Source organism: Homo sapiens, chromosome 11 (assembly GCF_000001405.40).
Source record: "Homo sapiens chromosome 11, GRCh38.p14 Primary Assembly".
NCBI classification, from domain to species: domain Eukaryota; kingdom Metazoa; phylum Chordata; class Mammalia; order Primates; family Hominidae; genus Homo; species Homo sapiens.
In genome coordinates, this window is record NC_000011.10 from 32,125,345 (window position 1) to 32,151,131 (window position 25,787).

At 42.3% G+C, this 25,787-nt stretch overlaps 1 long non-coding RNA gene, 1 other non-coding gene and 1 pseudogene across 2 annotated transcripts, besides 1 other annotated feature; 1 reads left to right on the top strand and 2 right to left on the bottom strand.

Annotated features, from left to right (window-relative positions):
• The window catches only part of THEM7P (thioesterase superfamily member 7, pseudogene), a 56,775-nt pseudogene that overhangs the window by 13,296 nt on the left and 17,692 nt on the right, over positions 1–25,787 (bottom strand).
• On the top strand, positions 11,492–18,379 carry LOC107984322 (uncharacterized). The gene is made up of 2 exons (XR_001748165.2): positions 11,492–11,898; positions 17,800–18,379. It is a non-coding gene; the product is annotated as an uncharacterized LOC107984322 (long non-coding RNA).
• Positions 12,556–12,645: an enhancer, noted in NCBI's record as "active region_4563". NCBI's record gives its function as "activates an Ori minimal core promoter by ATAC-STARR-seq in GM12878 lymphoblastoid cells {active_cell/tissue: GM12878}" and the evidence as "EXISTENCE:reporter gene assay evidence [ECO:0000049][PMID:35858748]".
• On the bottom strand, positions 18,398–18,568 carry SNORA88 (small nucleolar RNA, H/ACA box 88). Its single transcript, NR_132770.1, has one exon. It is a non-coding gene; the product is annotated as a small nucleolar RNA, H/ACA box 88 (small nucleolar RNA).

Sequence of the window (25,787 nt, forward strand, 5' to 3'; positions counted from 1 at the left end):
CATGTAAAAGTAACTCAAAATGGATCATACATCAATATTTAAGAGCTCAAACTTTAAAAACGTATGGAAGAAAATATAGGAGAAAATCTTTGTTGCTTTGGGTTTAGCAAACATTCTTAAATAGGACACACAATAGTACAAGCTATAAAGGTAAAAATCAACACATTAGACACCACCAAAATTAACACCATTTTCTCTTTGCTATAGTCTGAATGAATATCTATGTCCCCCCAAATGTATATGTTGAATCCCAATTACCAAGGTGATAGCATTAGAAGGTGGGCCTTTGGGAAGTCATTAGGTCATGAGGGTGGAGCTCTCATGAGTGGGGGTTAGTGCCCTTATGAAAATGGCCCTCCTCACATAATCCTTTGGATGAAAAAGAAAAAGAAAAAAAGAGCCCAGAGAGCTGCCTTGCCCCTTTTGCCCTCTGAGGATGCAGCAAGAAGATGCCATCTATGAAGCACAGAGAGAGCCCTCACCAGACACCAAATCTCCCGGCACCTTGATTTTGGACTTCCCAGACTCCAGAAATGTCTGTTGTTTTTAAATTACCCAATCTAAGGCATTTTGTTATGGCATCCCAAATAGACAAAGACACTCTTCAAAACCTACTATTTCAAAAATGAAAAGATAAGCAACACACTGAGAGAAAATAGTAGCCAAACATATCTGACAAAACACCGGGATCTAGAATATATAAAGTATACTCACAACTCAATAATAAGACATACAGTATAATTTTAAAATGTGCAAAAGACTTGAATAGGTATTTCATCAAAGAATACATACGGATGGCAATAAGAACATAAAAGAGTGTTCAATGTCATTAGTCATTAAGGATATGCAAATTAAAACCACAATGAGATACCCATTGTACATCCACTAGAACATCTAAAATTAAGAAGGTAGACAAGATGACTGACTAGATAGAGCCAGGAAGAGCTTCTCCTCCTGAGAGAGATCAGAATATCAAGCAGACAAGCATACTCTGAACAGATCTTCTGAGAGGAAGCACTGAGAGCAGATGAAGAAATGATGGAGACAATGGGGCTGAAGCGGGAGGAAGCTGAGAACCCTTGCAGGGTTGCTGAGTGCTGGGGCTTGTTCCTGGCACTAAATGGCTCCCAAGGAAACAGTAAGTGAAATAACTGCAGGGCAGCCCACTCTCACCACAGACCTGCAGGGTCCTAGCTACAGTAGATCCCACATCATCATGGACATTTAAGTTGGCATGGGGGTTGCCTGCAGAGTTGGCAGAAACAGATCCTGAGTCTCTTTGGAGCCCAGCGAGTTTGGCATGGGGACAGAGGCAAAGGAACACAGCCAGAGATGCCCATCCCCCAAGGCTCTCCTTATTCCTTTAAGTGCCTCTGACCTTTGTTATTTGTTGGACCTGAAGACAGCAAGGCCATCTTTCCCACAGGACTGGGGCGAGTCTGATCTGTGCACTCCCTATCCACCAGCCCCTCCCAGGGTCCCTGCCTGGGAGCCCCTCCCATGGGAGCAGGCACACAGCACAGCCTCCACTGCTCTGCCAGAGCACTTTCACTGGCTCCCCACACGGCCCTGCTGGAACACTTTCACCAGCAGCCCCTGCCACCCCAATGGGGCACTTTTGCCACTACCCCCAGTGGAGCAATTTTGCTAGCAGCTTGGGAGAACCTTGTCTCCCCCAACCCCCCCAAACTCAGCCAGTGCTCAACTTTGAGAAGCGAGAAGACAAAGCTGTGGGCCTGGTCCCAGCCCTGCTGGGTTAGAGCACATAGCCCAGGAGTGCCAAGCTGAGCCTTGGTCCTCTGAAAGCATCCAGAAATGAAGCCAATCAACTATACCCAACTTATTCCACAGTCAAACCTTCCAGGTAAATAACATATAAATGAAAAGCCCTCTCCAAAGGAAAGCAACTTCAAAGGATAAAGGAACACCAGCTCTCACAGATGAGAAAGAACCAGCACAAGAACTCTGGCAACTTTAAAAGCCAGAGTGTCTTTTTACCTCCAAATGACCAGGCTAGCTTCCAGGAATGATTTTTAAACAGATTGAAAAGGCTGAAATGACAAACACAGAATTTAGAATTTGGATGGCAAGGAAGCTCAATGAAACACAGGAGAAGGTTAAACCTCGTTCCAAGAAAACAGCAAAATGATCCAATCATTGAAAGATGGCATAGCCACCTTAAGAAAGAACCAAACTGAATTTCTAGAATTGAAAAATTCACCACAAGAATTTCATAATACAAATGGAAGTATTAACAACAGAATAGATCAAGCTGAGGGAAGAATCTCAGAACTTGAAGACTCCTCCTTTGAGTCAATGTAAGCAGACAAAAATAAAGAAAAAAAGCATTTTTAAAAAGGAACAAAAACCTCTAAGAAACATGGGACTATGTAGAGACCAAACCTACTGACATTTCTCAAAGAGAAGGAGAAAGAGTAAGCAACTTAGAAAGCATATTTGAGGATATAGTCCACAAAATTTCCCCAATCTTGCTAAAGAGGTTAACACGTAAATTTAAGGAATTCACAGAACTCCTGCAAGACACTATGCAAGACAACCATTCCCAAGACACATGATCATCAGATTCTCCAAAATAATATAAAAGAAAAAAATTAAAGGCAGCTAGACAGAAAGGGCAGGTCACTTGCAAAGGGAACCCCATCAGGCTAACAGTGGACCTTTCAGCAGAAATCTTACAAGCCAGATGAGATTGGGGGCATATTTTCAGCATTCTTAAAGAAAATAAATTCCAACTAAAAATTTCTTATCCTGCCAAACTAAGCTTCATAAGCAAAGGAAAAAATAAAATCCTTTTCAGACAAGCAAATGCTAAGGGAATTTGTTACCACTAGACCTGCCAGAGGTCCTTAAAGGAATGCTAAGTATGGAAATGAAAGAAAGATACCTGTCACCATAAAAAAACACACTTAAGTACATAGCCACCAGCACTATAAAGCAACTACACGATCACATCTAAACAACAACCAGCTAACAACATGATGACAGGATCAAATCCTCACATATCAATATTAATTGAATGCAAATGGGCTAAATACCTCACTTAAAAGGCATAGAGTGGCAAGGTGGATAAAGAAGCAAGACCCAACTGTTTGCTGTCTTCAGGATATCCATCTCACACGTAATGGCTCAAAGTAAAGGGATGGAGAAAGATCTATCATGCAAATGACAAACAAAAAAGAGCAGGAGTTGCTATTCTTGTGTCATATAAAACAGAATTTAAATCAATAATTATCAAAAAGGACAAAGAAGGGCATTATACAATGATAAAGGGTTCAATTTAACAAAAAGACTTAACTATCCTAAATATATATGCACGCAATATTGGGGCACCTAGACTAATAAAACAAGTTCTTAGAGACCCAAGAAGAGACTTAGATAACCACACAATAATAGTGGGAGACTTCAACACCCCACTGACAGTGCTAGACAAATCATCAAAGCTGAAAGCTAATAAAGATATTCTGGACTTAAACTTGACACTTGACCAATTGGACCTAATAGACATCTACAGAATACTCCATCCAACAACAGAATATACATTCTTCTCATGTGTAAACAGCACTTACTCTAAGACTGACCACATGTTCAGCTATAAAGCTAGTCTCAACAAATTCAAAAAAAATGAAATCACACCAATCACACTCTCAGACCACAGTACAATAAAAATATAAATCAATACCAAGAAGACCTCTCAAAACTATACAATTACATAGAAATTAAACAACTTGCTCCTGAATGAGTTTTGGGTAAAGAATGAAATTAAGGCAGAAATCAAAAAATTCTTTAAAACTAATGAAAACAGAGACACAACACACCAGAATTTTTGGGACACAGCTAAAGCAATGTTAAGAGGAAAGTTTATAGTGCTAAACACCTACATCAAGAATTCAGAAAGATCTTAAATTAACAACCTAACATTGCATCTGGAAGAACTAGAAAAACAAAAGCCAACCAATCCCAAAGTTATCAGAAAAAAGAAATAATAAAAATCAGAGCAAAACTGAAAGAAATTGAGATGTGATATTCCATACAAAAAAGGTCAATGACACCAAAAGATAGTTCTTTGAAAGAATAAACAAGATTGATAGAACATTAGCTAGATTAACAAAGGAAAAAAGAGAGAAGATCCAAATAAGCACAATCAGAAATGACAAAGGTGACGTTACAACTGACCCCACAGAAATACAAAAAGTCCTCTGAGACTATTATGAACACCTTTATGCACACAAACTAGAAAACCTAGAAGAAACTGATACATTCCTGGAAACACACAACCTCCCAAAATTGAAGCAAGAAACTGAAACCCTGAACAGACCAATAACGAGTTCCAAAATTGAATCAGTAATAAACAAACCTACCAACCAACAAAAGCCCTGGACCAGATGGATTCACAGCAAAATTCTACCAGGCATGTAAGAAGAGCTAGTACCAATGCTACTGAAATTATTCCAAAAAATCAAGCAGGAAGGACTCCTTCTGATCTCATTCTATGAAGCCAGCATCATTCTAATACCAAAACCTGGCAGAAATACAATACAAAAGAAAACTTTGGGCCAATATCCCTGATGAACATAGATGTGAAAATCCTCAGCAAAATACTAGCAAACTGAATCCAGCAGCATATCACTAAGTTAATTCGCTATAATCAAGTAGGCTTTATTCCTGGGATGCAAGGTTGTTTCAATATATGCAAATCAATAAATGTGATTCACCACATAAACAAAATTAAAAACAAAAACTATATGATCATCTCAATAGACACAGAAAAAGCTTTCGATAAAATTTAACATCCCTCATGTTAAAAATCCTCAATGAATTAGGCATCAAAGGAACACACCTCAAAATAATAAGAGCCATCTATGACAAATCTCCAGCCAACATCATACTGAACAAGCAAAAGCCAAAAGCATTCCCCTTGAGAACCAGAACAAGACAAGGATGCCTATTCTTACCACTCCTAATCAACATAGTACTGGAAGTCCCAGCCAGAGCAATCAAGCAAGAGAAAGAAATAAAAAGCATCCAAATAGGAAGAGAGGAAGTGAAATTATCTCTCTTCATAGATGATATGACACTATACCTAGAAAGCCTTAAAGACTCTGCCAAAAGGCTCCTAGAACTTCAGTAAAGTTTCACGATACAAAATCAATGTACAAAAATTAATAGCATTTCTATACGCCAATAATGTTCAAACTAAGAGCCAAATCAAGAATGCAATCCAATTTATAACAGCCACAAAAAGAATAAGACACCTTGGACTATAGCTAACCAAGGAGGCGAAAGATCTCTACAATGAGAATTACAAAACACTGCTGAAAGAAATCAGAGATGACTCTAACAAATGGAAAAACACTGCATCCTTATGGATAGGAAGAATCAATATTGTTAAGATGGTCATAGCAATTTACAGATTGAATGGTATTCCTGTCAAACTACTAACATCATTTTTCACAGAATTAGAAAAAAACTATTCTAAAATTAATATAGAACCAATAAAAAGAGCCTGAATAGTAAGACAATCCTAAGCAACAACAACAAAAAGATAAAGTCAGTGGCATCACACTACCAAAACAGCATGGTATTGGCATAAAAACAGGCACATAGGCCAATGGAACAGGATAGAGAGCCCAGAAATAAAGCCACATGCCTACAACAAAGTTGACAAAAACAAGCAAAGGGGAAAGGACTCCCTATTCAATAAAAGGTGCTGGGATAACAAGGCAGCCATATGCAGAAGATTGAAACTAGACCCGTACCTTTCGCCATATACAAAAAACAAACTCAAGATGGGTTCAAGACTTAAATGTAAGATCTAAAACTATTAAAATACTAGAAGAAAACCTAGGAAACACCATGCTGAACATTGGCCATTGCAAATAATTGATGACTAAGTCCTCAAAAGCAATTGCAACAAAACAAAAAATTGACAAGTGGGACATCATTAAACTAAAAAGCTTCTGCACAGCAGAAACTATTAACAGAGTAATCAGACAACCTATTACCCTGTATAAAAATGACCAAACCACATGAATAGACACTTCTCAAAAGAAGACATACATACAGTGAACAAACATATGAAAAAATGCTCAACGTCACTAATCATCAGGGAAATGCCAATCGAAACCACAATGAGATACCATCTCACACTGGTCAGAATGGCTATTATTAAAAAGTCAGGTTCTGCAAGGTTCAGTCATCTTTTTTACACTGGAGAACCACAGGTCAAGAGTCATCTCTTCAAGCAGAGTTTGAGGGAGCTGCGTCAGGCCAATGGAGTCTTTATTTATTAATACTTGCATGAAAATAACAGATGTTGGAGAGGTTGCAGAGAAAAGGAAAGGTTTATACATTGTTGGTGGGAATATAAATTAGTTCAGCCACTGTGGAAAGCAGTTTGGAGATTTCTCAAAGGACTTAAAGCAGAACTACCATTTGACCCAGCAAGCCCACTACTGGATATATATTCAAAAGCAAATAAATCATCCTGCCACAAACACACATGTACTCATATATTCATCCCAGCACTATTCACAATACCAAAGACATGGAATTATCCTAGATGCCCATCAACAATAGACTGAATAAAGAAAATGTGATATATATATATATATATATATATATATATATATATATATATATATATATATATATACACACACTGTGGAATAGTATGCAGCCATAAAAAGAATGAAATCATGTCCTTTAAAGCCACATGGATGCAGCTAGAGGCCATTATCCTAAGCAAGTTAATGCAGGAACAGAGAACCAAATACCACAAGTTCTTACTTATACATGGGAACTAAGCATTCAATACCCAAGGACATGGAGATGAAAACAATAGACACTGGGGACTATTGGGGGACATCTTGGGGTGGGGGGCAGTGAGGGTTGTAAAACTATCGTGTACTGTGTGTGCTACCTGGGTGATGGGATCATTTGCATACCAAACCCCAGTGACATGAAATTTACCCACATAACAAACCTGCACATGTACCCACTGAACCTAAAAAAAAGTCGAAAAAAAAAGTAGAACTGGAAATGAAGCTCAAAAAAAATTTTTAAGAAGGTGGAGTGTAGCAAGTATTGACAAGGATGCTAATATGATTTGGCTGTCTCCCCACCCAAATCTCATCTTGAATTGTAGCTCCCATAATTCCCACGTGTCATGGGAGAGACCTAGTGGGAGATAACTGAATCATGGGAGCAGGTCTTTCCCATGCTGTTCTCGTGATAGTGAATAAGTCTCATGAGATCTGATGGTTTTATAAAGGGGAGTTCTGCTGCAAACATTCTCTTGCCTGCTGCCACATAAGATGTCTCTTTGCTCTTCCTTCATCTTCCACCATGATTGTGAAGCCTCCCCAGCCGTGTGGAACTGTGACTCCATTGAACTTCTTTCCTTTATAATTACCCAGTCTCAGGTATGTCTTTCTTTATTAGCAGCATAAGAATGGTCTAATACAGATGTGGAGGATTAGAACGCTCATATACTGCTGATGAGAATGTAAAATTACACAACTGCTTGGGAAACTACTTTGGTAGTTTCCTAAAAAAGTAAAAAATACATTTACCATATGACCCAGCCATTCTACTCATTGTTATTCATCCAAGAGAAATGAAAGCATATGTCTACAAAACGGCCTGTACAGGAGTATTCACAGTAGCTTTTTTCGTTATTTGTTTATTTTTATTTCAATAGTTTTGGGGGTACAAGTGGTTTTTGTTGCATGGATAAGTTCTTTAGTGGTGATTTCTGAGATTTTAGTGCATCCATCACCTGAGCAGTGTACACTGCACCCAATATGTAGTTTTGTATCCATCACCTCCCTCCCAAACTTCTCCTCTGAGTCCTCAAAGTCTATTATGTCATTCTTATGCTTTTGTGTCCTCATAGCTTAGCTCCCACTTATAAGTGAGAACATATGATATTTGGTTTTCTATTCCTGAGTTACTTCACTTAGAATAATGTCCTCTAGCTCCATCCAAGTTGCTGCAGAAGACATTATTTCATTCCCTTTTATGACTGAGTAGTATTCCATGGTGTATACACACCACATTTTCTTTATGCACTCAGTTGATGGGCATTTAGGTTGGATCCATATCTTTGCAATTGTGGATTCTGTTGCTATAAACATGCATGTTCATGTGTCTTTTTCATATAATGACTTCTTTTCTTCTGGGTAGATACTCAGTAGTGAAATTGCTGGATCGAATGGTACTTTCATTTTTATTCCCCAAGGAATCTCTATACCGTTTTCCATATTGGTTGTACTAACTTATATTCCCACCAGCAATGTAAAACTGTTACCTTTTGACCACATCCACACCAACATCTATTGTTTTTTGACTTTTTAATTATGGCCGTTCTTGTAGGAGTAAGGTGGTATTTCATTGTGATTTTAATTTACAGTAGGTTTTTTTTTTTGTAATATCTGGAAACAACCAAATGTTGGTCTACAGGCTCATAAACAAACTGTGGCATATCCATACAATAGAATACTACTCATCAATAAAAAGGAATGAACACACAACAGCACGTAAAATTTCAGAATAATTATGCTGAGTAAAAAAGCTGGATCAAAAAAAAAAAGAAAAGAATGCATAATGTATGGTTCTAATTATATAAATTTCTAGAAGAGTCAAACTAATCTCTAGTGAAAGAAAGCAGATGCATGGTTACCTGGGGGTAGAGCAGAAGGGAGGGATTACAAAGGGGGCACCAGGAAACTTGGGGGCGATGGTAGTGATATTCATGATCTTGATTGTAGTGATGGTTTCACAAGTTTGTAAATATGCTAAAACTCATCAAATTGCACACTTTAAATATGTGCATCTTATTTTACGTCAGCTATACCTCAGTATAGTTATTTTAAAGAAAGAACAGAATGGAGAAGAATATAGCAATATCTTAGCAAGTAGCAAATATACCAATATCTTAACAAAATTAGTCTCTGTGAGATTATCAATGATGATTCTTTTCTTCTTTATCCTTTTCCAAGTTTCCAAATGAACATGTAATAATACCAAAATCATACAAAGTACTTTTTTGGAGAAAAAACAGAATTAGGTGAAGAGAGAAATTTGAAGAAAATAGTCTGTACTTGTGAATCCTAATACCAGTGGGTGAAAAAAAATCAAAGACATGAAACTTTTCAAATGACAAAGATCCTCTATTCTTTCAAAAGCCATGATAAGCCAGGAGGCACTATGAGAAGGTTTGATAAGTTGCACAGGAACATATATAAATCTAAAGAAGTCTATGGAGAAGTCATCATATTAGCAAAAACGCATCATTTGGTTGAGCTTTCCAGCTCAAATATCCTTCAAATACGTCAGTGAGAGACAATTGCAACAAAAAAAGAAAAAGAAAGAGGCAGTGCTAGGCAGCAAAGGAAGGTGGAATTTTTTCGTTATGTCAGGACCCATCAGTTCTGTAGTTCACCCAGGAATCTAAGGATTAAAGAACAATCCAATATAACTAGAAATTTACTGGCATCATATGTCCTTAAAAAGAATAAATACTGCAAAGAACAAACCAGGCCACAGAAAATGCTGTTCTCCTTCTGACTAAATATGGTCAAGTCTCATGAATCTGGGTTTCCACTCTTGGAAATGTTTGTTAAATCTGTGTGCACTGGGCTGAAGGCTCACTCTGAATTTTTTATTAGTGGTGGAAGTAGTAAGTTTTAAAAAGCTTTCAGAGACATACTTAACCCATTTAGATGATAAAATATTTTTAAAGCTTTCAGTGTATTATTTGGATATCAAATATTGAAAATTATCAAGTAATTTTTATATTCATTTATTCAAGAAAAACTCACTAAGTGCCAGCAATTGTGCCAGGTCCTGGGACACAAAGAAGCAAACACAACCCATGACCTCATGGAGCTCTTAGACTAATGACTGATAAACCTACAAACAGTTGCTATACAAGGTGTCCTTGGCTTGGGAGAGTGAAAAGGAAGTCAGAGAAGCCTGCAAAGAGAAGGTAACACTTGAGCAGAGTCTTGAAGGCTATGTAGGAGTTTTCTGGTTAGGAAAAGAGAGACATTCTAGGCAGAGAGGACAGCATGAGGCAGAGAGGCAGGAGAAAGGGAGATTATTTGGTAAATGGCAAGAGCTTCTGAGAGGATTAAGAATAGGATTCACCTGGTGGGGACAGGCCCTAAAGCAGATGGAAGCTCTTTATCCATGCTGGAGAAGTTCAGGCTTTATCCTAGATAGAATGAGGAGGTGTGTTGGTTACAACTCTGCTTTTAACCAAATAAACTGGCCTAAAAGTGAAAAAGATGACCTTCAGTGTTCAGAGAACTCAAGGGCTTTATATAGTCAGACTTAAAAAGAGGCTGAAATTGGTAACTGGAAAGCTAAAGAAACTCTCCTCCTCTCTCTTTTTTTTTCTTTCTTTTTTTTTTTTTTTTTTTTTTTTTTTAGACAAGGTCTCCCTCTGTTACCCAAACTGGAGTGCAGTGGCGTCATGTCGGCTCACTGCAATCTCCGCCTCCTAGGTTCAAGCGATTCTCCTGCCTCAGCCTCCCGAGTAGCTGGGACTACAGGTGCGCAGCATCACGACCAGCTAATTTTTTGTATTTTTAATTGAGATGGGGTTTTGCCATGTTGGTCAGGCTGGTCTTGAACTCCTGACCTCAAGCAATCCACCTGCCTCAGCCTCCCAAAGTGCTGGGATTACAGGTGTGATCGCCTCAATCTTTTATCTTGGTTTTTTTCCCCCCCCCTCTCCATATCCATTTTCTATTAACCTGTTCTTTTGGTCATAAGTGACAGAAATATAACTCAAAATAGTTTAAGCCAGAAAGGGATTTTTTTTACTCTCAAAGGGAAGTCTAGGCACATGCTATAGCAGGGGTTAACTTTGAGGACATTTCGCTATGTGAAATAAGCTAGTCACGAAATGACAAATATTGTATCACTCTACTTCTGTGAGGTACCTATAGTACATTCATAGAGACAAAAAGTAAAAGGGTGCTTGCCAGGGGCTGGGGCCAAGGAGGAATTGGGAAGTGTGGGAAGATGAAAATATTCCACAGATGGATGGTGGTGACAACTGCACAATAATGTGAAGATACCTAATGCCACAGAACTTTACACTTAAAAATGGTTAAAATAGTAAATGCTTTGTATAGGTTACCACAACTTTTTTTAAGTGAGGTGTCCAGAAGTATAATAAATACAACTCCAGGCACTGTTGGATGCAACAGTTCAAGTGCCTTCATGGGAATCTTGTCACTATTTTGTTCTTCTTTCCTCTTCATTTGCTTCATTTTCAAGAAGAATCTCTTTACGTGGTGGCAAAGATGGCCACCCTCATCTTAAATCATCTATATACCTCATGATTGTCGCCAAAAGAGAGTCTCTTGCCTGACAGTTCCAGCTAAAGCTCTGGGAATGGCTGATTGGCCTGGTGTTGGGTCATAAACCCACTCTTGAACTAATCACTGTAGCCAGAAATCAGAGTACACTGATTGGTCAAGCCTGAGTCATGTGTTCAACCTCAAGCCAATCACTGTAGTCAGGGGAGCAGAGTTCTCTGGCCATGCCTCCCTGATGGGAGTCCACCTGAACCGTGGACTGAGAATGAAAAGGGTGATTTCTCACAGAGATACTGGACAGTCAAAACATGTCCATCACAGCTTCTTCTTTCTTTCTCTATGGACCAGTTTTCTGTGTTTTCAGTCAGTATGGTAGAAGAAATATTGCTATGCCCAGCTCAAGTTTTACTTTCTCTCTATTCAAGAACACTAGAAGTCCCTGGGAGACTCTGACTAGTGAAGCTCATACAACTAACTGTGATGGTGGAGATGAGGATAGTCTTAAAGGTAACACGGTTGCAACAGACTCATCTATGCGAATATAAAGGTAAGTTACAGGGGCCATTAGGAGCAAGGCAGATATCTCAAAAGGTGTCTTTTACAACAGATGATAGACATGCTTTCAGGAAAGTGGTATGAGCACACTGTATGAAAATAGTTCTGGCTGCTAAATATTGGATAGGTTGGAGCAGGAAAATATGACAGCAGGAAGACTAATCATAGGGATGTTGCAAAAAGATGACTCAAATTTCTAGCTTAGGAGGATGAGAATGGTGATGTCATCCACTAAGAATGAGATTATGAAAGGAATGTGTGGTCCGGAGAGGGGTAGGAAGAAAAGGGTGATAAGTTTAGCTTCTGACGTGTTTCCTTCAAGATGCCTGTTGGACATTCAAGTGGAGAATTCTATTAAGCAGTGGAAAATAGAAGCTTAAAACCTGAGAAAGAGAATATGGCTGGGGACAGAGATTTGGCAAAAATTGGTATGTGGATTGATATTGAAGCCATGAAGTGTATGAGATTGCACATAGAGAGCACTGAGTATGGGCAGAAAAGAGAATAGAGGGCAAAACCTGCATTTATGGGGTTATGACAGGAGCCTCAGTACCCTGCCCAATGTGCTCAGCACTCACTGTTTCCAAGCATGCCAATGGCATCCTATTGTAACTCCATCCAAGGGCTTTCTCTCAAGTTGAGCTTGATGCAGGCCAGAAATGCCAGGGTAAACAGCCCTTAGCCAATGTTGATGGGACTCTTGTGGGACAACTCAAATGTGTTCCCCACCATCTCACAGAGGTCCCGGTGGGATCTAGCCGCAGTTGCTCACAGCAGTTACCTCCTCATTACTATACCCTGTACTTGCATCTTTCACTTCCCTGTCTCACTTCTCAATGGCTCCACTGGTGTGCCCTATGATCACCTCCCAGATAGATCACTCACACTCAAATCTTAGTTTCAACATCTGCTTCTGGGAGAACTCAAGAGCGCACAAAGAAGGATGCTCCAGGGAGAATGAGACCAAGAGGTCTGGAGATGGGAGTAAAACCAGGATAAATGATTTCCCTGGAGCAAGGAAAGAGAGAATTAGAGAGGAGCTGGGACTCCATTGAAAGTACTTGAGAAAGGCCGGGCGCGGTGGCTCACGCCTGTAATCCCAGCACTTTGGGAGGCCGAGGCGGGCGGATCACAAGGTCGGGAGACCGAGACCATCCTGGCTAACACGGTGAAACCCCATCTCTACTAAAAAATACAAAAAATTAGCCAGGCATGGTAGTGGGCGCCTGTAGTCCCAGCTACTCGGGAGGCTGAGGCAGGAGAATGGCGTGAACCCGGGAGGCGGAGCTTGCAGTGAGCTGAGATCGCGCCACTGCACTCCAGCCTGGGCAACAGAGCGAGACTCCATCTCAAAAAAAAAAAGAAAAAGAAAATACTTGAGAAGTAAGTCATATACCCTTAAAAGTAATAAAATTCTAAATCTATACATATCCAGTTCCCACAGTTTTTTTTCTAATATGGCAAGGACTTTCCTTGGATATTTCATGTTCAGAAAGACCATTTGTAAGAAAATAAGCCAAAATTATAATCTCCTGAAAAGGAAACCCCAAGGGCCCAGAACAGTGGCCTCTGATGCCTGAAGAGGCAGGGGGCCTGAGAGCAAAGCAGAGCCTTAAGCAGCCCTGTTTGGGATCCCTGTGTGTCCCCCACATGCGAAAGTGTCATGCAGGTGGTAACAAACACTTTGGCTTTGTGGAGGATCGATTCATTGCTGGCCCTGATTAACGACCTCCTATATTCATGCCCCTTGCCTGTAATTTCATTGTCCCCACCCACTATGACTCTGGCCAGGCCTTTGACTTGCTTTGGCCAATCAAATAGAGTGTAAGTGGTGTGCAAATTCCAACTCTAGGCTTCAAGAGGGCTTGCAGTGTTTGTGCTTGCTCTCTTAGATCCTTCTTCTGCCATGAGCTCAAGCCCAGGCTAACCTGTTGCAGTATGAGACCACATAAAACACTGCCAAGTCACCCCAGTTGTCCCAGCCAAGCCCTAGACATGTGAAGGAGTACAACCAAGATCAATAAAGATACCTAACTGACCACAGGTGCAGAGAAAGCCCAGCTCTGACTAAAAGAACTATCTAGTAAAGATAAAAGACTCATGAGCAACATTAATCATTATTGTTTTTGTGAATCTTAGTGAATTTTGAGATGAATTGTTACACAGCAGGAGCTAACTGAAATATAGGCTTCATGCTGAACAATGCTCAGTGAGTTACCTGAGCTGGATGCCTTTTGTGCATCTGGAAGGCAAGGCAAGTTACTTAGGGACAGTATTGGTCCATTCTCACACTGCTGTAAAGGTACTACCTGAGACTGGATAATTTATAAAGGAAAGAGATTTAATTGACTCACAGTTCACCATGGCTGGGGAGGCCTCAGGAAACTTACAATCATGGCGGAAGGCAAAGGGGAAGCAAGGCACCTTCTTCACAAGGCAGTAGGAAGGAGAAGTGCCGACCGAAGTGGGAAGAGCCTCTTATAAAACCATCAGATCTTGTGAGAACTCACTATCACAAGAATAGCATGGAGGAAACCGCCCCCATGATTCAATTACCTCCACCTGTTATCTCCCTTGACACATGGGGATTATGGGGATTACAATTCTTGTGGGGATATAAAGCCTAATCATATCAGGGACCAAGATAATAAAGTTGAGGTAGCTGCCTTGGAATAGTAGAGAGAGGGAAAACAAGCAGCAGACCAGACAGATGCTTATTAAATACCTATGCTGTGCTAGGTGCCTGGCATGTTATTATCTCACTGTCAACTCAAAAACACCCTGTGAGGAAGTATTATTATCTCTCTAACCAGAATGGCTCTGGCAACCAAGCAATGCTCCACTTGAACCAGTGTCTGGGTGGCCACCATTGCCATTCTACCCCAGATAAGAGTGTTCCTTTGCCAGCTGCACCGTGGGTACAGAAGCACTCTGTATTTATCTGAGACCCATTGACTTGGGGGCGGGTCCCCCAGCAAAGCTGATGCATCCAGGGATATTTCAGCTCTTTTAGGTTTACTTAGAGCCCCCTTCCTAGTCAGGCATGCAACTTCCGCCAGAATAACTGGATTGGGTGGATTAAAGCAACAGCTGCCTGGGGACCCTGGCTTATCTCCATCGATTCTCAGACTCTGAATGGAATCAGACACTTGCTCTTCAGGAAGAATTCTCCTTAGAGGGGTCTACTCTGCTTCTTTGCTATTTGCCTGCTGTTGGCCTCTGCCCTTCCCCTTGCCCACCCCATCTCTAACTAAATCACCCTTTGTATATTCAAACCTCAGCATAGAAACAGTTCCAATTTTTCCCCAGGGGCAGGGAGCTGGTGTGTACCAGCTCACGACAGCCAATTGTTATATTCTCAGAACTTTTTATGAGTTGGTTAAAGATGATCATTATTAAAAATTAAATAATATAGATTTACAATTAAAGAAATTATGTTAAAACAAAGTAATACTCAAAACTTATCATCCCTAATTATTTTGTGACATTTTACTATTATCTATGCTCTTTAGCTTATTTACATCTATTGTATCTGTGCAGTGAGAATATTATATTCTGTCAATCTCCTTCTCACTGTGTATTCAGTGACACAGAGTTAGAACTTGAAATTTGCCATAGTGGGACTATGAATACCAAGAAAATCAGCAACCACTGCAAATTTATTGTTTTGATTTATTGATTGAATTTATTATTTTATTGGTTGTAGGTATAGGGAAGGAGGGTAAGCAAACTTCTCCTGTTAAAGGGCCAGGTGGTAAATCTTCTAGGCTTTGTGGGCCATCTGGTCTCTGTCGCAGCCACCCAACTCTGCTCTTGTAGCATGAAAGCAGCCACAGACAATACCTGAAGGAATGGACATGGCTGTGTTCCAATAAACTTTATTTACAAAAATAGGCAGTGGGCCAGATTTGGCCCAAGGGCCATAATTTGTTGATCCCTGAGCTAGACTAAAGACTTAAGAACATATTAAAAATGCATATTAAGTTTAAAAGTGCATCATGTCTGCAGTGTAAACAGCACTAAAAATTAAGAAAGTTTTTTTTAGTATTATTATTATTTTTTGAGACAGGGTCTCACTTCATCACCCAGGTTGGAATGCAGTGGTGCGATCATGGCTCTCTGCAGCCTTGACCTCCCTGCCTCAGGTGATCCTCCCATTTCAGCCTCCCAAATAGCTAGGACTACAGGTGTGCTCCACCACACCCAACTATTTTTTTTTATTTTTTATAGAGATGGGGTTTCACCATGTTACCCAGGCTGGTTTCAAACTTCTGGGCTCAAGCAATCTGCCTGTCTCACCCTCCCAAAGTGCTGGGATCACAGGCGTGAGCCACTGTGCCCAGCCAAAGGAAATATTTTTAAGTATTCAAAAACTATTATTTTTAGCTCACAACATACTTCTTACTCATTAACATGCACACAAAAATATCAACGAACATTCATGCCAGAAGTACAATTGTTTGTTAGTTGCAGCTAAAAGTTGGCTAAGGATAGAAGAATTCAGCCAAAAATCAATAAAGACATTTTGTGAGAACCAACTGGCCGTAAAGAGTTTACAATAAAGAAGATTGTATATTTCATTATAATTTGTAAATTGTGTGCCAAGCATCTTTTTTATCAGTAAAATGCATAATGAACTTATGTATGTACATATATGCTGGTTGTTAAAAACTTTTACTGCATACCTCCAAACAGAAGGCACCTGTTTCTGATGCAACATAACACATGCAAATGGATCCAAGGGGAGGAAGCTGTTGCCAAATATTTCATCCCACACTGCCTGGGAAGCCTAGGACATCTCCATTTTACAGATGAGAAAAGTGAGGCTTATCCAGAGTTGTATAACTAGTTGTTAATAGTACTGAAATCCAAACATAAGTCTATTTGACTCCAAAGTCCATCCCTTGAGGTTGCCTCTTAGAAACCGTGTATTTGGTTCAGAAGAATACAGGGAAACTGTTAATGAGGCTCACTTTGGAAATCAGCAAGAGGAGGCTTGGAGAAATTCCAGAGGAGTCAATACCCAGGTGAAGGCCCCGCAGGCCTAAGGGAAGGGGAAGCTGCATTGGGGGCACACCCACAGGTACAAATTACAGATGTGGATGAGAGCAAACATGCGGGCATGGGGGTGGAGATGTGGGACTTCCTGTGTCAGGGCTGCAACAGTAAGCACATTTCACCTCATCAATGATGGTTTGTACTCATGAAGAAATTGTGAGTGCAAGGATCCATAATCCAATTAAATGGTTTTGTGATAGGAAATGAGGCATGCTTTTCAAGCGGTACGCAGTCAGAGATTAATAGCAGGTGCTGAGCCATGGCTGGGAATGGTGCTAGTTGATCATAAGGTGCACTGCATTTTTGCTAATGTTACAGCTTCGGAGGTGAGGACAGAAGAGAGCATAAGAGGTCCTCAGGGCTCATGCCTACTTTTTGGAAGATCAGTAGTCAGGGACATCACTGTGGCAGTACCACTCTTCCAAGGAGCCTTTTGTGATCTCCAATGGCTGAATGGCTCTGGCTGGAAGGGGTCATCACTGGGACCTGAACCATGCCTCATCTAGGTACCTGACTAGGGGAAGCTGAGTCTCTCTTTTCCAGCCATGCACAACTGTGAGCCAATTAAACCTCTTTTCTTTATAAATTACCCAGTCTTGGGTATTTTACCTACCCCGGGTAATTTACCAGTCTCAGGTAAATTACCCCATCCCTTCTAGTTGCAAGGGATAGAAAGTCAGCTCAAAAGGCTTAAGCAAAAAAAGGGAATCTATTGTCCTGAGTAACTGGGCAGTTGAAGAGTGGCCTCAGGAACTGTAAGGTTTGAAGCAAGTTTCTCAGACGAACACCATCCAGCTTCCTCTTGATCTCTGTTTGTTTCTCTTTGCCCCTGCAGACTCTTCCTTCTGCAGCAAGTAGAAGGCATGACTGAAGCAACTCAAGTCTACATCATCCCAGCTTCGCAATCTCCCAAGAGAACAAGAGCCCCAGTTGGCCAACATCTGAACATAAATTCTCATCAGTCCACCTTCATAAGCAGACGGGGAGGGTCTCCAGGGATAACAGGAATTTAACCAACTTCAGCAATGAGCCTGGTTTACAGCCTCCTGCCCTGCAGCCTGTTCTTCCACAAACCCTGGGTAAAATGCAGTCACCTTGTTGGTTTAAACCAGCTCTTGACAGACCCCCGGCAACATACAGATGAACGCAAGTGAACTTTCTCATGACCACGCTAAAGTCTCCACCCTGGGCAACCTGTAGCTTCATTACCATGACATGCAACCTATGCGCTGACGTAATGACTCACTGCATCTGTGCAACTAGACCTCTCCTCGTCATGCAATGATGCTCCCTGTCTCCTCTCCATTGCGCCATAAAACCCTCCTGTCACTTTCCCTCGGAAAGACACTGCTTTGGAGAATACCCCCAGTGTCACCCTTACTTGAGTTAAATAAAACTCCTATTGATCAAAGACAGTGTTCTTGTGGAGAGTCCTTTGTTATTCATGAGGTGAGTGAACCCTGGTATTTTGGGGGTAACAAATCTGGTACCCCAGGTGGGACTGTGGACCAAGCTCTGACTCAGTCTCCCTTATAGGCTTCCAATCAGGTGAAGCCACAACCTGTGGACACTTGGGCTAACTCACCTAAGTTGCTGAGAGGGAAACTGGAGAAGGGCCTCAGGACACTCCTGTCTGGTGTCTGGTCAACCCACAGGTGCCACAGGACCTCCCAGGGAGAGCAGAGATGGCCACTTGGACCTTTTCATTCAGCGCTTTTTTTTTTTTTTTTTTTTGAGATGGAGTCTTGCTCTGTCACCCAGGCTGGAGTGCAGTGGCGCGATCTCAGCTCACTGCAAGCTCCATCTCCCAGGTTCGCGCCATTCTCCTGCCTCAACTTCCCGAGTAGCTGGGACTACAGGTGCCCGCCACTATGCCCAGCTAATTTTTTTGTACTTTAGTAGAGACAGGGTTTCACCATGTTAGCCAGGATGGTCTCGATCTCCTGACCTCGAGATCCGCCACCTCGGCCTCCCAAAGTGCTGGGATTACAGGTGTGAGCCACCGTGCCCAGCAGTTCAGCGTTCTTTTGCAGCGGTAAGTGGTGGCAGTTTTGTGAACTGACTTAAAAGAGTAATTTCGGTTTTGATCATTAGGACTCTGGGTTGTCAGGGTTAGGACCTAGGTCAAGGGATTCAGGGTTGTTGGGAAAAGGGAGGACTCCCCTTCAGGTCTGGGAGATTGAGAGACATCTCCATCCATTTTAACAAGGGGAACTCCCAACATAAAGACAAGGACTGTCATCTTCAGGATTTCATCCCGTCTTGTATATCCGTAGGACTGAATATTTGTTCATCTTTGTCAGTGTTTGTTTGTCTTTGTCTGTGACCTGAATGACTGTGAAGCCTGGATTCCCCTCCCCTTAGTCTGTAGCAACCCCTAAAATATTGAGCTTCCATTTGCAGCAGTCACAAGAGAACTGTTATTGGTTTGCCAAGGAGACCCATTTTTGAAGGAGGCAGTTTTGTGGGGTCCTGATCCTTGGAACTAGAATGCAGTGACACAAAGGATAGGTGAACAGAGAGAGACAGTGTGTGTGCCTTCTCCTGAGGGAATATCTCGCTTACCTGATTGATTTACCTACCTCCCCACCATGCAAGCCCAGCCCAGAACTACTCCAGTGGCTTTGTGAGATCTCCTGGGAAGCCTCCCAGACCAAACAGTCCAGGAAGAGGCAATCCCTGTTATCCTCTCATAGCTTCCCGGGACCTCTACTCTAGGGTGGCCTAGGTGTGGTAGCAAGCAAGGAAGGCAGAAATATTCTGCGGGCTAAAAGTTGCAGGATTTGTGTCACCACTAACCCTCAATAGAAGTATCTTGGAGCGTGGAATCAGACTCTTTGCAAAGACCCTAGAATATGGGGAACCAGGTCTCAATACCTAAAGAGAGCCCACTAAGGTACTTCCTCTGACATTGGAAACTGTTTGGGTATCTACCCATGACCAAAATGCAAATGATATATTAATGTAATGCAGCATGGCCCCACTACTCCCTAAGAGATTAGGAGAGATGGGCTGAACATGGATCGCTCACTTATGATGTAATTTTCCAATCGGATTTATTTTGCAAGAAACAAGGCAAGTAGGATGAAATGCCCTTTGTACAATGTTTATGGCCTTCTATATAAACCCAGCCCTGCAGAAGAAATATGAGGCATGGAAATTGGCCAAAGGGCCAAAGAGAACTATGTTGCCAATTCTAGGCACCCCTGGAGAGGAAAAAACAGTCATGTGGGGACCTGTAGGGAAGGTAACAGGAAGAAGGAATGTCTCTACTTCCCTCCAAGAGAAGAAGCGAGGCCCTCTAACCCCACTCAAGGACTGGAACTTTTGCCAATAGAGAGAAGAAATAGTCCCCCTTCTTCCTCAGGAATTGAATGCTCAGTGGCTCCACAGGAAAGCAAGCATCCTCCTCCATACTTGCTGTATTAATCTGTTCTCACGCTGCTGATAAAGACATACCCCAGACTCAGTAGTTTATAAAGAAAAAGAGGTTTAATGGACACACAGTTCCACATGGCTGGAGAGGCATCACAATCATGGTGGAAGGCAAAAGGCACATTTTACATGGCACAGGCAGGACAGAGAATATGAGAGTCAGGCAAAAGGGGCAACCCCTTATAAAGCCATCAGATCTCATGAGACTTATTTGCTACCATGAGAACAGTATGGGGGAAACCACTCTCATGATTCAATTATCTCCCAGTGGGTCCCTCCTACAACACATGGGAATTATGAGAACTTCAATTCAAGATGAGATTTGGGTGGGGACACAGCCAAACCGAATCACTTGCTGGGCCCTCCAAACTCTGAGGAGTTGACTGTAGCTCCTACTATGGCAAGAGCAGCCCTCCTCCATTTTACCCCTCCCTGTCTGGGAGCACCACTCATAGTGGGAATACATATAACCCTAAAGGGGGCTGTTCCCCCTCAGGCAGGTGCCTGATGGACATACAGGTTTTGCTTGGGTCTGTGTGCCTTTTACAACTGCTGACTTGTATAACTGGAAATTCCATACTAAGGTCTTACGGGTGAGCCCAGAAGAGTTCATAATTCTCATAAGTGGAATATTCTCCACACATAACCCCAAGTGGCCAGACATGCAGACCTTAATGGCAACCCTGCATGGGAGAAGGGAAATCTGCCATCATAGCCAAAGCCAAGGAGGAGGCAGACAAGATGTGTGCTGATAACCATGGTCACAAAATCTACTGGGCTGCTAAAGTGTCATTCCCAAGAGCCAATCCTCACCGAGTCCCAGTGGTAATAGGGATCAAAAGCAGCTAGATTATTATAGGAATATGCTGCTTACATTAGCCAGCCCCTGGTCAATTGGGGAAACTCTGGGAAATAGAACAAGGCCCTAATGAAAATCCATCAGTATTCCTAAAGATACTACGAGAATGGCTCCAGGATTACACCCTTTGGAAACCAGAGGACCCTGAAAAGCTGAGTAGTGCTTGGTTCCCAATTCATCTCTCAGAGTACCCTAGATATTCAGAGGAAACTCCAAAACTGGTGATAAATCCAGGCACTCTCCCTTCCCAACTGATAGACATTGCCTTCAAGATCAACAAAAATAGAGATGTGGCATCTGACAAAAGGGAGGACAAGAAGATGGAGAGACAGGCTCATTTTCTGGCAGTAGCCCTACAGACTACTTCAGGTGAACCAGGAGGAAGGAAGAAGAAAGCATGGATAAGTAAGCAGAGACCCCGCCATGGGACTCAGAGGGTGCCTAAGCTGGGACCCACACAATGTGCTTACTGCAAGCAGGAGGGACACTGGAAAAGGAAGTGTCCAGATCCTCCCCGGAGGGGGAAGAAAGAGGACAAACCCAAGCACCAGTTCCCTGTAAATGGAGAGAAAACTGACTAACAGGGTCCTGGGGCTCCCCGCCTGGATCATCAAGATCCACATCTCCCTCAAGAATCCCTGGGTAACCCTAGAAGTAGGGGGACAGCCAGTTGAGTTCTTGACACTGGGGCTACATTTTCTATGTCTCACTAAAAGGGGACCCCTCTCCAAGAGGGAATATAATATAAAAGTATGTCTGCTAAAAGAAATTCTAAGATTCCTGGAGCCTCTGGTCTGTGAAGGGGATCTAAGTCTTTGACTCATTTCTTCCTCTGTGTCCCTCAATGCCCCATTCTCCTTTTGGGAAAGGTCCTTCTGACTAAGTTTGGGGCTATAATTGCTCTAAATCAGGACAGGATATGGTGGAGTTTCTCTGGGCCCATGGTGCCACCATGTTGGCCCTGGTTCATGGGGAAGTTCTGGACACAGAGGAGATTCCTTTAGAAATTGAGAGCCAAGTTAACCCTGTGGTGTAAGCTCAGGAAGAGGTCAGAGGAGCAAAAACGGCTAGGCCAGTGGCATCAGTACGATTGAAGGAACCAGAACTGAGACGCAGGGCTAAGCAATACCCAGTGAGGTCTGAGGCACTGAGAAGAATTCTACTGGTGCTCCATCACCTCCTGGAGCAAGGTGTAATCTATGTTTGTCAGTTTCCCTATATCTTGCCAGTCAAAAAGCCAAGAACTGAAGAATACTGGTTTGTTCAAGAATATTGGTTTGTTCAAGATATTCACCCAGTTGTACCCAATCCTTATAACATTATGATTAACCTTCCAGGAGAAAGCAAATTGTATACCATGCTAGATCTTCAGGACACCTTTTTCTGTGTCCTCCTGAGCCCAGAATCCCAGGAGTTGTCTGCCTTTGAATGGGAAGATGCTGAGTCCCATCAAAGGCAACAATATTGCTGGACAGCCTTGCCTCAGGGATTCAAGAACTCTCCCACTATTTTGGGTAGTGTGTTAAGTAAATACTTGAGATATTTATATTTAGAAAAGGGTGCTGAGTGCAGAAGCTCACACCTGTAATCCTAGTACTTTGGGAGGCCAAAACGGGAGGATCACTTGAGCCCAGGGGTTTGAGACCAGCCTGGGAAACACAGAGAAAACATAGGGAAAACATAGAAAGCGAACCCCTTCAGAACTCTAAGAGGTCTGGTTTGTAGACAGGAGTAGTTTCATAACAATGGGCCAGCAAAAAGCAGTGTGTGCAGTGGTGTGCTTACTTGGGCTTAAGCAGGCTAACAGCCTACCTCCCAGGACATTGGCCCAGAAGGCTGAGATTATTATCTCAGCCTGACCGAAGCCTTGTCCTTAGGGCTAGGCAAGGCCATCACTCTCTACACAGACTCTAAGTGTATTAGCCCGTTCTCACGCTGCTATAAGGACATACCTGAGACTGAGTAATTTATAAAGAAAAGAGATTTAATTGACACTCACAGTTCCACAAGGCTGGGAAGGCCTAAGGAAACTTACAATCATGGCAGAAAGGGAAGCAAACACATCCTTCTTCACATGGCAGCAGCAAGGATAAGTGCAGAGTGAAGAGGGGTAAATCCCCTTATAAAACCATCAGATCTCATGAGAACTCACCCACTATCATGAGAACAGCATGGAGGCAACCGTCTCCAAGATTCAATTGCCTCCCACTGGATCCCTCCCATGACAGATGGGAATTATGGGAACTACAGTTCAAGATGAGATTTGGGTGGGGACACAGCCAAACCATGTCATTTATGCCTTCTATGTACTCCACGCCCATGGGGCAATTTGGAAAGAAAGAGGCCTCCTGACTGCAGGCAATAAGTAGATTAAGCATCCAAAAGAAATATTACAGTTGTTACAGGCAGCACTGGTCAGCATGAGGAAGTTACAGAAGAATGACCTCTGACTCAGACCCCTGAAGAATGAGGATGACATATCTCTAGGGGGAAGATCTCAACTCGGGAAGATCTGTAGGGGAAAGATTTATAAGCAGACAGGGAGGGTCTCCAGGAATAACAGGAATTTAATCAACCACCCATCAGCTTGGTTTACCGCCTCCTGCCCTGCAGCCTGTTCTTCCCCAAACCCTGGGTGGAATGCAGTCACCTTGTTGGTTTAAACCAGCTCCCCAACGGAGCAGCAACACAGCAACATAGATGAACTCGAGTGAACTTTCTCATGACCACGCTAAAGTCTCCACCCTAGGTGGAGCTGTAGCTTCATTACCATAACATGCAACCTACGTGTTGACATGATGACTCTCTGCATCTACGCAACTAGGACCCCTCCTCGACATGCAATGACCCCCGTCTTCCCTCTCCACCACCCCATAAAGCCCTACTGTCACTTTCCCTCAGAGAGATGCTGCTTTGGAGAATACTCCCAGTGTCATCCTTACTTGTGCCAAGAAATAAAACTCCTATAGATCAAAACCTGTGTTCTCGTGGGGAGTTGTTTGTTATTCACCAGGTAAGAAACCCTGGTATTTTTCGGGTAACAAATCTGGTAAAGCCAGGTGGGACAAAGCCAGGTGGAACTGTAGACTGAGCTCCAACTCAACCTCCCTTATCGGCTGCTAACAGGTGAGGCAGTGAGCTGAGGAAACACGCTCAGGCTAACAGGTGTGTTGCCGAAAGGGAAATAGGAGAAGGGCCTCAGTACGCTCCCACCTGGTCATGAGTCTGCCACCTGGTATTTTTCGGGTAACACCTTCAGTCATGTCCCCATCTCTGGCCCAATCAGGGAGGCCAGGCAGATGGCGTTTATCATTCCCCAGGCCAGGGGTGGTACTGAATTGGCAGCCTCATCAGGACCACACTGAAAGAAAACGGCACTGCCCTCCAAGTAAGAGGGTGCTGTTTTATGTAAAGGAGGTGTTGGGGATCAGAAACAAAACCCCCAAAATATGATACTTTGACATAATCAACTGAAGAAGCTTCAAGGTCTCTCTGACCTTCCCCCCGAACCTCATAATCTCTCCCAAAGAAGCTGAAGTTCCTTTATCTCCCTAGGATCCAGACCTATCAAGGAGAACAATTGTTTTTTTTTCCCCTCCCTGAAATACCAAGAACATAACCACACCTAAACAGACCCTTTCACTGTCAAAGACAACTATTTACAAGTGAGTTTCTGTTCCACTAATGAGTGGATTACTAGGGATCCACTCATTCTCCATAATAATCCTTTATTGCCCCTCTTCTCCTCCCACCTCTCATAACCTGTGTTGCCAGGAAGGCATATAAGTTTCTGAACCCTGTTGAAGGACAGGCAATCACTGTGATTTTCCCCATGCACCCGTTAAGTAAGTTTATATGCTTTTTTTTCCCAATTAATCTGTCTTTTTTTAGTTGATTTTTTCCAAACCTTCAGAGGGTGAAGGGGAAGTTTCCCTTGGTCCTTACAGAGGAAAGGGATGCTGGAAAAATGAAAGCTAGAATCCCTTGATCAGTAGGATTTTCCAGGGGAGTCTCAGACCCAGAGTAATAGCTAACTCCAAGGCTACCATTATGAAGGGGCCGGGCTCTGCAAAGGGAAAAAGGGAGAATGAACAGTCGTAAGATGACTGCTGTTTCTAAGGGCCTGTCCTTGTTGGTACACACTGCTTGGTCTAATTTTGAAACTATATCATCCTCATTTTACAGATGAAGAAACAGACGATCAGGACAGTTAAGTAATTTGCCCAAAGTCATACAGCTAGTAAATACTAGAGCTGGTAGAGGGAGGCACAGGTCTCCATCCTCCGACAGGGAGGAAAGGTTTAATTTCAGGTGCCCTCACTTAGCGTACCTCACTGTCAAAGCCTTAAAAATATTTTTATGACCCTTCAACCAGATTTTCTTTGGATGCTTTCCAAAGCTCAAATGAAGCAACATATCTTCCCTTTCATCTCTGATTTTTGGAGGGCAGCATGTGCTATTTCAATGTCCCTGGACAGACACAGAAAAAGATATGGAAATGGGGCAGAAGCTAGTGTTGTCTACACTGC